This window comes from Homo sapiens, chromosome 7 (assembly GCF_000001405.40).
Source record: "Homo sapiens chromosome 7, GRCh38.p14 Primary Assembly".
NCBI classification, from domain to species: domain Eukaryota; kingdom Metazoa; phylum Chordata; class Mammalia; order Primates; family Hominidae; genus Homo; species Homo sapiens.
Genome location: NC_000007.14, coordinates 96,945,038 through 96,960,331, shown reverse-complemented (window position 1 = coordinate 96,960,331; position 15,294 = coordinate 96,945,038). Strand labels below are relative to the sequence as shown.

The 15,294-nt window shown below is 38.0% G+C and overlaps 1 long non-coding RNA gene across 1 annotated transcript; it reads right to left on the bottom strand.

Annotated features, from left to right (window-relative positions):
• Positions 1–1,469: 1,469 nt before the first annotated feature.
• Positions 1,470–14,779, bottom strand: LOC124901703 (uncharacterized). The gene is made up of 3 exons (XR_007060444.1): positions 14,750–14,779; positions 3,054–3,295; positions 1,470–1,595 (listed from the first exon to the last, which is right to left on the bottom strand). It is a non-coding gene; the product is annotated as an uncharacterized LOC124901703 (long non-coding RNA).
• Positions 14,780–15,294: the final 515 nt, after the last annotated feature.

The window sequence follows — 15,294 nt, the reverse complement described above, 5'->3', positions numbered from 1 at the left end:
AATTTTGTTTTTTTTCTTTCTTCTTGTTGAATAAGTTCTTCATTATTGCTCAGTATGGTTGCATTGAGCTCATTGTGAAAAATTAGAAACATTCAGATACAGGATTTAATTAAATAAAGACAATAGAGTGCAGTATTATATTGCCATTTAAAAGAATGAGGCAGCTTCATCTATGGAGTGGTATCCACGATACACAGTTAAAATTTAAAAAGCAAAGCACAGAACAATGTGTATGGTGTGCTACCATTTGTATAAATACATACATATATGTTTCTATGCATTGCCTAACTGAGGAAGGACATTTAAGGAACTGGTAATAGTGGTTGTCTCTGGGGAGAAACTGACTGACTCAGAAATTGGAAGACTATCTCTGTTGTCCCTTTTATATAGTGTATCATGTTCATGTATTGCCTATTCATTTTTTTAATAAAGAAGAAAGTAGAGCTATCTTTACTGAGATGGAAAAATACAAAAGACATATTTTAGGTATAAAAAGCAAGGTGCGGAATAGTGTAAATAGTATATGATATTTTTGTAATGTAATTATACATACATACATATATGCATGGATATACACACACATATACACATCTATAAGGAGATGCACCAAATTGTTAACAGTGGTTCCCCCTAGGGAAAAAGAAAGTGTGTGTGTGTGCACGTGTGTGTGTGTGCACGTGCGTGTGCGCACACATACTTTCCGTTTTTTATCCTATGTAGTTCTATATTGTCTGATTTTGTTTTACACAAGGCACATAGCAATTTATAATAAATAACTCATACATCTCAAACCCAAATAATTGCACTTGATTTCTGTACACCTATCAAGAAAATTCTCCAGCATTTCTGTCTAGCTTTATTTTGCTGTTTGCTATATCTCATGGATTCATTTCAGATCTCTTCTTTGACCTTTTCTCTGAAGCTTTGTGAAGTTTCTATTCCTTTATCTTTACTCTCATGCATTCACCTTTATCAATAGGGCCCAGCTAAGGTCATGACCATGGAAATCATGGTAATACTACTGGTAGTTCCTCTCTCAGCCACTTCCCTTTTTAATTAATCAAGAATAATGCAACTAAAATCTTCCTGATTCCTACTTTACACACTTCAACTTGGTTAAATAAAACTCCTGACCTATTTCAGGAAGATTTATTTGCTTTCTGGATGATTCCTATCTACAAATAAGTTGTATTTCCAGTCTCAAAGAACAAAATCCAAGAGAACTTCCTCAACTCCACATCCCCTTCACATACCACACCATTTCTCTGTTTTCCTTTACAGCAATTCCCCTTGACAACGTTGACTTTACTTTTGTAAAGATACTTTCTCCCCTCCCATTCATCCTTAAACCTATTCCTCTCAGGCTTTCAGCCCTAACCGCTGTCTCTGAACTCTTGTGTTGAGGTCATTTATGGTACTTACTTGCTAAATCCAGTGGCCAGTTTTCAGTCTCCATCTTTACCTCCCAACTTGTTGGTCACAGCCAATCACTTTCTCCTTGCAATACTTTTTTTTGGTCTTCTGGACACTTCTCTTTCTTGGATCTTCTTCTGCCTCACAGACTACTCCTGAGTTTCTTCTTTATCCTCTTTCACCTTGAAAAGTGGGGACTGCTCAGTTCTCGAGCCACCTGCCTTCTTTATTCAAACCCATTCTCTCAGTGAGCTCATCTAGCCTTTGGCTTTGAATACCATCTCCATGCTGATGTCTTCCAAGTTTTTTTATGTGCAAACTCCAGCTTGTACCTAAACTATGGACTTGGTGTCTCCTTCTTCTGTTCTTTTTTTTTTTTTTTTTTTCTGAGACAGAGTTTCGCTCTTTGTTGCCCAGGCTAGAGTGCAGTGGCATGATCTTGGCTCACTGCAACTTCTGCCTCCCGGGTTCAAGCAATTCTCCTGTCTCAGCCTCCTGAGTAGCTGGGATTACAGGCATCTGCCTCCACGCCTGGCTAATTTTTGTAATTTTAGTAGAGATGGGGTTTCACCATGTTAGCCAGGCTGGTCTTGAACCTCAGGTGATCTACCCCCCTCGGCCTCCAAAAGTGGACTTGGTGTCTTCTTGACACCACTATTTAGCTTTCTAACAGGCATCTAAACTTAACATGTCCAAAACAAGTGGACCCACCTGCCTGCACTAACCTTTCATATTTGCTAAATGACAACTTAATTGAAGCTCTACTTTGTTCTAACTGCTTTCACTACCTCCACCACTAAAGCCCTGGTCTAAGCCTGATTATCACTCACCTAGATTAGTGCAATAGCCTCTTATCAGCTCCCTTGCTTCCATCTTTTCCCCCTAAAATCTGTTCACTGATGGCAGCCAAAGTGGTTCTTTAAAAAATACAAATCAGTTTATGCCATTGTTTTACTCAAAACCCTCCAATGGCTCCCATCTTACTCAGAGTGACATCCAAAGTCTTCACCATAGCCTTCAAGGCCTACATGCTTCCTGTATTCACTCTACGTCTCTCTGGTCAGCCCCCATTCTCTCCTCCTTGCTGTTTTCATGCCACCTTGATTTCCTTGCTGTTTTTTGAACATACCAGGCATGCTCCTACCTCAGGGCCTTTATACTTGCCATAGGTGTGGAATACTCTTTTCTCAAGTATTCATGTGGCTCAGTTCTCTCCCTTCATTCAGCCCAAATGTTACCTTATCAGAAACCTTCCATGAATATCCTATCTAGAACAGCACTCACCCATTTCACGGTACCCCTTTACCCTGCTTTATTTTTACCATCATCTGACACATTATATATCTACCTATTAGTTGTCTATTATAAATATGAACTGGAATATAAGACCTATAAGAACAGAAATTTTTTGTTTACTACATCTTTAACATTTAGAAGAATGACGGTTACAAAGAAAGTGCTCAAAAAAATGTTCCCTGAATATTGAATAAAGAATGGTGAGAAGTTCACTAAAGCTTCCTTTAGCCTATTCAAATTATATGGAATTGCTCTTAAGACAGTTTATTTCTCCATCTCAATTTTCTCATGTCTTTTAAAAAAATTTGTTCTAACTTTTTATTTTGAAATAATAGTAGACTTACAAGTATTTGCAAAAAGAGTATATAGAAGTTTCTTCTACTCTTCACCCAGCTTCCCCTAAATGTAACATCTTCCCTATCCTTTCTTTTTATTATTTCCTGTTTCCTTTACTTCAGTTTCTTATTTCTTCTGTAAGTCTTTCTACACAGGCTTTCAGGAACTCCTCCATCTCTTATTTCATGGCCAAATCATTGGTGAACTTTATTCAACACCAACATCAAATTTCTTCTCCAAGATGATGGTCCTATCAAGGAAGGGATAGATACTTCAATTAAATATGCTTAATCCTATTTTTCATAATAACAAATAAATCAAAAGAAAAGAAAGGCTGTTTCATCTTTTAAGCTTGTTCTACCGAGAGATACTATCTCTTCTGTAAGTTCTGTATAGCAGTTTGTTTGCTGTGATTTCTACAGACAGGCAATTTGTTGACTCTAATGTGTATTTTCTCTCTTATATTCAACTGTTTAGGAAAAGTTGAATAAAAACAAATATATGATTTCTTTTAAAAAAATTATTTATTCTGCTGAGTCTCTGTCAACACACATTTATTGTGTACCTACTGTGTGCCAAGCTCCATCCTAACGATGGTCTCTTATTCCCCCAAGATAATCTGTGATGAACATCACCTTTAATACATTGTAAGTTCTGAAAGATTGATTGAAAACTCCTTTCTTCCAGGTAAGTAGGTTATTCTCTAAGGAAAGGGCATTCATGTTCAGGTCATAAGGGCATGATTATGCTAATAACTGATCTCCAGGGTTAAAAAAAGAACCCATGTCCCTTCCAATATGCCTGAGATATAAGATAATCTACCATTTGACAAGATAAAGCTCATCAATTTCATCATCAGTAAAAAGAGGGCATAACTGGGATGTCACTAACTGCTACTGTTAAAATGAGCATGTATTAAAATCCTTATGGATGTCCCCTTCATATTCAACATTAATTAGAAACCTGCCCTATCTCAGTGTTCTTCTATAATCAATCCCCCTTTCCAGTATTACTAAGGTAACTGTAAGCCCTGCATGCCTGAACTGTCCTGGTTTACACCTGTTTTTCCAGCATAATTGTTAATTGCAACCCTGTTCACTGTCTGATGAATCTTGGTTTGGACGATAAATTATATGGTCAACCTAAGTATTAGAGTCCCTGGGATAAACAATCAAGGTGTCATTCTTATTTATTGGTATTGGTTTGTCACAAGCTGTGAAAACAGTTTTTCTTTTGCTTGTTTCTTCCTGAGTTGTCACGAAGACCTTCACATAAAATCACTCTCTCCCATTAAAGTAATTATTGAAGCCCCCTTCAGTAATGACCAGTTGTTTTAGTTTTCCTCCTCAGATTCCAAAGACCAAATGTAGAGATTATTTTTACTGGGTCAGGATCAAAATTGTTCAGAGGCACTAGCCTTGTATAGGGAGAATTTCATCTATCTAATCCACAAGAATCTTGAAGAGACATTTTTTCCTTGGTAACATTATCTCGAAGAAAGAGTCTGTGATTGACTACTAATTTTAGCCCAGAGGATAGAAAACTCAAATGTACTCAATTTCAATGTAACATATGTATTTGTGGCCTAAGATACTTAATGTCTCTAAAGTTGCTACAAGGGAATGAGTAATTGAAAGGTGAGTTTGGGTGGCCTTCTTAGACATAATCTCTGTTAAAACTATTTAATCTGTATGGTTCACAAGAAAGGTTTTCTTGAGTTGATGAGTAGAATGATATTTCTGATAAGATATTTCTACAACTATATTCTTGGCTGATGGTAGTAGCAGCACCACCATTTTTTCATTATTTAATTTTGGAAAATTGACCACTATTTTTTTCATCTAAGGCTGTGTCCTTATTGTACTGAAGCACCCAATCAACTCGATGTAAAAAAAGAAAGTCTTTTAAATAATGTGGAATTATGAAGACAAAACAACTAGTGAGGAAACTAAATTGTTTTTATCTAATTATTTTGTAACTCATCTGTGAACTATAGATAATTCTGCTGGTTTTTGCATTCCTGAAACAGTTGCTGTGAGAATAAATAATATACTTAGTAAAACATTATGAATGTTTGAGATAATAGATGCATAATGACTTCATCCTTGTTTGTAGCTTGCTTGAAAAATTAAATTGAATGAAACAGAGTAGCTTCAGTGTGTTTTTCTTCTTCTCCCTCTTTTTCCTCCTCCTCTAGTTAAAATGAAAGTACATTAAAAATTATTATTGGTATACATAGCTTCATTATAAGACACTGACAGATGCTGAAATATCAATGATACTCCTCTAGTGTTAATTTAAACAAATTCCATGCTTTTATTAATACTAAGAAAGTATCAGGAAAACTGGACTCCTAAATCCCTTCTTAACTTAGGGAACTGGGTTGAAAAGCTAAAGGAAATTTCTCCTAATAATTATGTCTTTTCCTATCTTAGGCATCAACTCCACTCCCTTCATCCTACCTCCCCTGCCTCTCCTAGGAGATGTATAAGAAACTCTGGAGAGGCTTCTTTCATATGAATTGAGACAGCTCCATTTCCAGGAGTTTCTGGGCCTGTTTATGAAACACAGCCTGAGAAATTGCCCAAAGAACCCTGCAGTTCTTGAGTGCATAGGGAAGTTCCATGACTTGGAAGTAATGGCATCAGGTGGTTGGAGAGGGTGGAGTGATAGACCAGGCTTCTAGTCTTCCAGGAAACCAATCGTACTGGGATCATCTTAATAGGTCATATATATTATATATTAAAAATATATGCAGCTTTCTTAAAAAACTAAAGGCCTGCCAAAAGAAGGTGAAGATTTCATAAGATAGAAAAATGTATTCCCTGATTAAAAATAATGACCTATTCCTAACTAAGGGACAAGAACTACCCATAATGCACTACATCTTCTTTTGGCAGGGGTACTCTGAGTAGCCTGTGCACGTCTCTGTAATTCTCAAGAGACTTACTCACTGTCTTCCAGCTAACAACATGAAAGGGATTTATTGATGTGCCAAGGCCAAGGCTTAGGTGTCAGAATTGGGAAATCTGTCATATGATTATTTGGTTGAAGAACTCTAGGTTCCGTAAATACTTTTGTTCCATGAGTGGTTCGTGGAAAAATTTAGAGGCTGCCACAGCAACTGTAAGCCTTCTGTATGGGAACTAGGCAGAGGAGAGAGTGGGGGTGGGATATGTGTTCACTGGGGAAAGGTGACATTTTTTAGGATGTATTTTGCTGGAAGGTTTACCCCCTAGCAGGGCCAGCCTTAGGAAATGCTGGGAAGTGGCTCTTTGGCAACATTTACCTATTTTGGAAGTGTTCTTCCTCTCTCCTACTCCTTCTCCCACTCCTCCCCTTTCCCCACTTACTTACCCAACCCAGAGGTGTAATTTTGTAATCTGGTTACCCAGAGTCCCTTCGTTGTGGCCCTTACCTGAGCTGATACGCTGTGGACCTTGTCCACTTCTCATGTTTGCCAAATTTCTTATCAGATTCTACCTGTATCATGCCCTATTCCCATTGGATATTTATTTCTGCCTTCCAAGGGAAAAGGAAGTGATCTGATAATCTAATTAGAATAAGAGCAGAAAAGGTAAAAACGATTTAATACATTGTTCCTCCTAATGCAGGGGTGGAGGGTAGGGGCTTTATACTTCAAGAGTGGCTTCTACAACAGCAGTGTTTTAACTTAAAGTTGTGAATTTTTCAGTGGTGAAATTCCAGGACTTATGTTTCAAATCGGTGGGAGTAATATTTTGGGGGCAAGAACATTTTTAAAACATCCTCAAAATCATGCACGTAGACAACTACCTGTTCTGAGTAAGGAAGGCCCAACTGTGGAGTTTGGGAGAGTCGGAGTATCTGTTTCGCATAGCCAGGTGTCATCGCAGCTGACAGAGGAGGTGCTGTCAAGGAGCAAGACAGCCTGAGAATGTGCCTGACTGCTCCGTCAACAGGAAGACTAGGGACTGTACACACCTTTCTCCTCCCTGGGGGTTGGCGCCATGGGCTGAGGCCAGGAGTGCCTGGGTGAGGGTGCATAGTGTATATATATATAGTGTATATGCACCTTCACCCAGGCACTCCTGGCCTCAGCCCGTGGTTTGACTACAGCTTATTCCTAAAAGATCAGAAAGGCAAATGATTCAGAAGTATGTGCAGCTGATTCATACTTGTAATATGTAATCTCACAATCCATGCCTGTTTTAAGTGTTGATGTGTTGCTGATGCAGTCTGCACTCTGCTCTCCAACTGTCTCTTAGAAAACAGCAACAATGCTTTATTTCTGATTACATAATGACTCAAGCCAAAGAACTTTTAAAAAATGCCCCAGCAGTTTTGATTTGACACTGTTTATGTTTCATTTTTGTTCTACTAATCCAATATTTTTTGAATATCTTCATAGCCTAGCCAGAACATATTCATTGAGTTATTGACTAGACAGGACTCTGATTTAACCTTAAACTCTTAGGAAAACTTCCCATGTGACTTACAGGATTTCTAGTGAGAATCAAGAGCACCATTGTTGATTCTTAATAATTATGTGGTTTTTGTATGTAAATGTGTGTCTTTCACATGCATAAATGCACACAGGGCATAAAATTTCCAGTGCCATCTAAGCATACACATGTGCACACATGCACATACACACACCCACTGCACAAATCTCTGGTCTTCATTTACTAATTGTTCTCTCATTTGAGCTAACTACTCTACTGCTCCTATAACTACTAAATAATAATTAATATGGAAAGATGCTTAAACAAAACAACCTAGAGTCATAATTGTTAAGTTTTAAGGAAGAATGGCATTGCTACTAGACACATGCAACTAAGCAAGGATTTTTGTAGGAAAGTGATGAGGTTACAGAACTGTTATAATCAGCATCTGCTTTATTGGCAAAAAGCATAAATAGATAGTTTAATCATCTTTTTAAATGGTCATATTGATTAAAACATCAAGAAATGCCATTCAGAAGGGTTTTTTTCCCCATTCAGAGTTGCAATGCAGATCTGTGTGTGAGCCCACACCATATTTGCTGTTTGTTTTCATGAAAATCACAATGCTAATACTGTTAGGGGATTATTACAGTGGTGAGCAATGCTGCAATGAGGCTAAATTCATAGAGTTCTCAATAAACCTGAGCAGGGGAAAATATATATGAGAAATAAAATATAAATATGAGAAATAAACAAAATAATTATAAATTAGGGTCAAGGCTGTTCTTTTCTGGGGAGGAAGCTATTAGTTATCATTATCGCACTACATTAAAGAAATTCTCACATCATGCAAGATTTCTAGATAATAATTGTTATAATTTTTGAGTAGCTAGTCTGTTCCAAGTACCATGCTTAGCACGTTATTTGCTTGGTTCTCATTTGGGCCTCATATTTAATCTATAGGTAGAAACTATTATCATGTCCATTTTCTATATATGGACATGATACCTAAAACCAATACCTAGAACATGTGAATTCAAAGTTGTCCCCAAACAGATCTAAGTGACTTATTTGGGAGCTGTGTTAGGATATGCAGACAGGGCGATATTTTTTTCTCTTAAACTGACTATTGATATGGGCTATCGTGTCATGATGTTTCAATGCATGGTCACACAAGCAACACATATTTTAGTTTTTGTCACATTTCAGTTTTCCCCCCTTTTCTATTACCTTTGTATCTCTGATGGACAAATCTAGCTCACTTTGAAGTTGGTTGCTATGGAATGTCTTCTCCAGTAAAATTTCAGGGTAGTTTATATTTCCCAGGAAGTCATCTTTAGACCTTTCAAAGGGATATTAACTTTTAAAAACACAAACACAGATAAAGTCCTAAATTTACCATGAGAGAATGTTACATCTCCCAGTGCCATCTTCCCAGTTACTCCATATGCCAATTTTAGGCTAATGCCATTTTAGGCACAACCCCGCCCTGTTCCTTTTCTGTCTTTCTTGGGCCTTGGGGTCTTTATAGCTTTTGCATCTCTTTGCCTGCCTCTGAGATCAAGCTTCCTGACACCGTACCTCTGTGTTGCTTGGAGAGGCAGATTAAAATATACAATCTCCAGACGGGAATGATTTAGCAAAATTAAACACAGACAGAGGGCAGAGAAGGCGAGAGGTGTCAAATGTTTCTTCTACCCCACTATCAGTTTGATGTGGTGGCCTTGTTCCTACCTAGTCCCCATTCATGCTGTCCACTACCCAAAGTTAAAATGTCTTAAATGTTAACAGAATACACATGGATAGAGATATGTATAGGCTTCCTTCTCCCTCCTAACTCAATGCATGGAGTTTTAATTGTGGTTTATTTCAACTTAATTTTGCTTTGCCCTTAGGATGAAGAAGATTTATTTCAATAAGTCTCAAGAGGTATTATGCAATATGTAAGTACTTGCAAGAATCTGCTTAGCCACCTCCAAAAAAAATTATTCCTTTTGATAGATCATTTGCTTTCAGAGTGAACTTCCTTCCCTTTTCCAAACACAAACATGATCATATCGGCGAGTTGATACCAAAGTTGCTGAATTTATAATGCACACACTTATTTATTATTAAAGCCAATGTGTAAATAAAATCTCCGCTTGGTTGGAAACAAATTTAATAGGAAACATGTGAAAGAGCTATGCACAGGAAAGCAATATCATGTAATATCTCCTTTTCTTAGTCCCTGCCTGAAACAAGATATGGAATACACAGCTCAATAGTGCTGGGAGGTTTTATTACAAATGGAGAATTTCTCAATTATCCTAGATCTCAGACTCAGCGTGGTTCAACATGACCCATTAAGCCATCATTTAAGTCCAAGGTGATGACTGACATTGGGAGGGGACGGCTGTCACTGAATACAGAAATGGTTATAAAGATGCCCATGAGGACCACCATTTATTTTCTTCTTATTATTGCTCCACTGTTTTCAGATCATTTAAAAATCCATACTGAGCAAAAAGCTACTATTGGTTAGGCTGTACCTAATCTCTAGCATGCCTCCTGAACACGGCCATAGTATGCCCTTATAACTGTTTTAGGCTGTGCCCAACTTTCAAAGTGGTTTTGAGCACAATTTCTGAGCTCTAGTGGGGATGAAAGTCCTCGTACCCTCCTCTTGTTTCTTGCTAGTGCCTTGCATGGCTTTCTGCAAAATACAACTCATGGATTTCTGCAGCACAAAAAAAGATAAGATGTTCGGTATCTTTCATTTTCTGCAAATAGTCTGTATTTACAATACTACTCCAGTGGTTTCTGACTACCGCTTAGGGCAATTTTGCTTAGCCTAGCGGAATGTCCTGGAAACTACTGGCAATGATTTAGCCTCCAAAATTGGAACGCATTTAGTAGAGACAGAAAGCCTATGAACAAATAGTGGGCATGTGCCAGAGTAAATAAGTGTGGTTCATGAGCTGCGGTCAGAAATGTCTCTCTTTCAGTATGCAGGGCAGAGCTGTTGCTAGCATTTGCCATAAAGTCATCACACAAAGCAGTTTTTCCTCTCAGTAAGACAGACTCAATGAAAAAGACCTAGTCTCACAATCTACTATTGGGCCCATAGTCATAGGCCAAAGGATACCTGAGCCGAGGGGTCATTTTCTCCCGTTATCCTTTCTTAACCAGCCTGCCAAGCTTCTATGAAAAAAGAAGAAAACCCATGAGGGAGTAGGAGGAGGCTGGATAGGTTAGAAAAGGAAAGATTCTTTGTAACACTCAAAGCTCCTCCCAGGATCTCATAACAAACCACAGAGTCAGTTTGCTTCCTCTCTTTTCCAAACCCAAACTTTGGCCCTTACTGTCTAGTTCCTTCGAAGCACTTGGTGAGGCTATCATTACTTGGTGAAGTATTAAGAGAACATTAAGATGCTTTGCTGCCACCTTTCTCCACAGAGTTCTGTCATAGGTTTAGAGACTGAAGGAGGCAGACGTATATGGTTTCCACTTTAGGCTATTTGCATTTTCCTTTAGAACTTAACTCCTTGACCACACGTTACGGAAGGATTTAGTTCATTTGGATTGGAATAGCATGATTTCTGGTGCGTGTGCATGCTTGCCCTCTGAGCTTAGAGTCTGGTTTCATGTAGTTTTCTATTCCTGTGTAGATGTGCAGTCTTAGCAACCACTGAAATTCAAGAAGGAATCATTAAAAACAAAACAAAACAAAACTGAAGAAACCATCAATCCATACCTAGTATGGCATTCATTGTGGGGATATTGTCATAGGGGCATGTATAGTTCGCCTTTAAAGAAACACATAGCAAGAGATGTCATTTTCCAAAACCTTCTTATGATTACCATTGTCATCTTACCATAAAATAGTAAAATATGGATAAATGTTTCAGAAACATCTCAGATATGACAACTTTAGGAATAAAAGAAATAAATACCAAATATTATTTCTGTATTAGGTAACCAATTTTCTAATTCATTCCCATAATTATGGATCCCACAGTTAAATGTAACCAACATTCATTAGACATCCACTCTATGCCAGGCATTATGCTAGGTACTAAGAATACAGAGATGAAAGACAGAAAAAAAATATCAAACTGTTGGCAACTGTCAGTTTTGAATGGTAGGATTTAAGAATTTGCACTCTGGTCAATTTAGAAACTTAAATAAAATGTTTTTTTTTCAATAAGAAAGAAAAAAAGTCCCTCATTTCAAGGAGCTTGAAGTTGATGGATATGAAGGTGAGTGACCCAGTAACTTAAATACAGTATGATAAGCAGCACAATAGAAGGATGATAGAGGTGGCAAAGTTTCCTTAGGACGCCAGTGCTAAGTTGGATATAAAGCTCACATTCTACCATAGAGAAATGAGAACTGGCTTAAGAGATAGAAAAGTGGAGCTGGGTTTAGACTCTTTTTTGCTTATCCATGTGATCACAAACAAATTGCTTAAACCGCTCTAACTCATAGTTTCTTCTCCTATCAAATGGGATAATAATCTCTGTCTTGATTAGTTACAGGGTTGTTGGAGGATTAAATGTGAAGATATATATGAAAGAGCACAAAGACCTGTGCACATAATATAAATGTAAGATGATATTTTTATTATTATTGGTCTCAAAGCCTTACTTGCTGGACCAACCTACATTGCCAATAACAGTTTATCATTATCTAACTGACTACTGAATGTAATGTTTCACTTTCCTTTCATCTGCAGATCTCCAAACTCTTCTCTCAAAGTCACATAATCAAGGGCCCTGAGATCTTAAAAGGCAAAATAACTAGGCTCATATCATTAAATAAGCCCATCCCTCAGCTAGTAGAATCAATAGGCTTTTGCTACTTCAAATGAAGTTGGGAGGCAGAACGGCCTAATGGGATGAGCAGGGGCTATAAATCAGATGAATCTGTGGGCTATTAAAATTTCTGCATCTCAATTTCCTCCCAACACAAAGTATGATAATAATATCTGTCTCAAGTTTTTGTGAGGATTAAATGAGATAAGTAGATGCAATGTTTGGAACAATGTAGCCACTCAATAAATGTTGCCTTTTCTCTAGGCACCAGTGACATCGATCTATATGATCCCAAATTCTATTTTATAGTGCCTGTCTTCTTCTTTTGTGAATTGATGCTAAGAAGCATAATAATCAGGGTCAATATTCCAATATGATAACTGAAGTGACAATGAACAGAAAAGGAATAATCTAAAAAGGAAAGAGAAAGAAAATGTATACTCACTACATTAGACTTGGGTGATCTAGGAGTTCTGGGTTGGTCTGAGTGCTCAATGCATGGTGGAGTAAGTGTGAACACCCAGGAGCTAACTAGGAATGGCTTAAACTGAAAACTGGATGTTCTAATCTCGTTTTGCTTATTTTTCTGATTCCCAACTCATTTTGCTCAAATTTCACCTTAAAAAAGGCAAGCACTTTTCCTTTCCAGTTTCCTGGATCCTTTAATTTTACTTGGACTTCTGTCCTTTTGTGCTGGGTCCAGCAGATGCAATAATAATTTTGTCGGCCAAGCTTCTGCAAGGAGCCCTGCAATCATAGAGTTTCTTCACCTGCTTTCTTCCTGTCAGTCACAAAAGAACAGGATGACATGTATTCAAAATTCACAGGCAAAAAAACAAAACAAAACAAAACAATTACTGGAAGGACAAAAAGGTTTCATGGTGTATGTGTCATTTTTATCCCAGGTTCTGAAAAATGCTGCTACACTGTCATTGCCGTATTTCCCCCTCAACCCCCTAGAATCATCATCCACAGCTATGGATGAAGGCCTAATTTAAGGATGCAGAAATGAAAAATATCCAATTCTCTTCAAAACAGCTTAAATTTTTGATCTTTCTCAATTTGGTGATTTTTGCCAGTAGAAACACTTTCTGCCACTGATTCTTTTCTAAGAATTTCACTCTGGATTACAGACTAGCAAAGAGTTTTAAGATCTGATGAAATACGGCAGAACCAAAACCTAACTGTCACCATTTTGATAATCTCAGCCATATTCTATGATCACTTTAAAAATTTTTTTGATGGGTCTTTACTTCTATCAAAGTCTCTCAAAGGTATGGGATTGGGGAGGAAGAAGGTGGTACAGAACCTAGTGAACCCAGGTTGTACAAACTGGAACCAACTAAAAAAACAGGCTACTGGTCTGGTCAAACCTGAGAAAGCAAATGAGGTCATTTTGGTGGAGGACAATTCAAACACATATGCATACACACACATGCAAGCACAAGCCTGCAGAGGAGGTTTCTTTACCTGGATTATCTCCTCTATCTCTCCTGTCCTTGCCTGACCATGCATACTTCCAGTATTGAACATATATTACTATTTATTTTGGTGAAAAACTATTAGGCTATTTCAAAGGCATGAGAAAAACACAACCAAGAAATGGTGTAAATCAAACTGATCCACCTTTCTGACTTGTGATGTGGTAAGAGGTGGTAAGGGTGTCTGGACATTGTCAGTGCATTGCAACCCATATTCCAAAGTGACTTTGTTATATGAAAGGAGTTTAATTTTTTTCCTTTTTGTAACCTTGTGAAATTTCCACATTAAAAAGCAATCACATCTTTCAAACTGGAAATGATTGTGTTTGGCACCACAGTCTCTGGTGTAATGGGTTGAGCTTGTTTTCGCTAGAGTGAAATCAGCTTTCAAAATAAATCATCTGTAACAACATTCTACTCCCCAAATCATATAATCCTATTAACCAAGTTTCATTTTTTTTTTCATTGTCACTGAGCTGACAAGATTGGCCAAGTTTCAATGTGGAAACAGAAAGCTTTGGAGGTCCTGGCCAAGGCAAGGAGAGCTACCCAGCTCCAGTCTTGCCAGACCTTGATGAGCCCTTAAATGGACTCATCTGTGCTTCATCTCCACCTAACGGGCTTTGTGGGGAACAGGGTCATCCAATCACTTAACAATTCAAGCCACCCAACAAATAGTCCAGTGGGGACAATCGAAGGACAGTGGGTTACCATGGTCATTCCAGTGAATAAGACCTTTATCAAAAGTACATAACAGTGCCAGTGTGCTGAATGAGAATGCATCCCAAGTGGCTGCGGGGAGAATCTTTGCCAGAAGTGTAAATTATGTGGCAATATCTAAAAGAGCACCTTATAATTTCAGATTTCTCAGGAAAGCATATTTTTCTTTGGGGGTAAAAAGAAGAAAATGAAACATCTTATAATAACCAAGTAGATTTGTTTTCTTCTGCCAGCAGGAAGAAAGCGCTCCTAGAAAATGTTTAGGGTGTTTCCAGCCAAAACTTACTGTTCAGCTTGGTCTTTGTCCTTTCCAAATTGTATGAGCCACTCTTTGCATTTGAGATGATCAGTGAGGCAACTGGCCATCTGTGAGCATCATAATGGTCTTATTAAAGTAACCCAGCTAAAGTGGTTAGAAGCAAATATCAATTTATAATTTTCCATAAGTGACAGGTCACAACTTTTGTTAGCCATAACCAGATTCTGTCTTAGGCTGAAATTCGCAAACCTACGTCTTCTCCCTGGAGAGTACTCCTTCCAGTAAGTCCTTGGGGCAGCTTTTCCCACGAGCCAGTATCTTCTGGCATAATATTTACATCTAGGCCTCAGGGTAACTCAATTCTTCAGAGTCAACACAAACTTGGGGTTGGTCTGATTCTGTCCTTTGGAAAGCTTCCCCCAGACCAGAGTTTTGTGTCAGATTCTTTGGTTTTCAGCTTTTCTTACTCGACTGGCAAGCAGTTAACTCTGACTTTAGAATCAGTCCTGGGTTTGAATTCTGTCCCTGCTACTCACTGGCCTAATAAACTTGGCCAAGATATTTAACCTCAT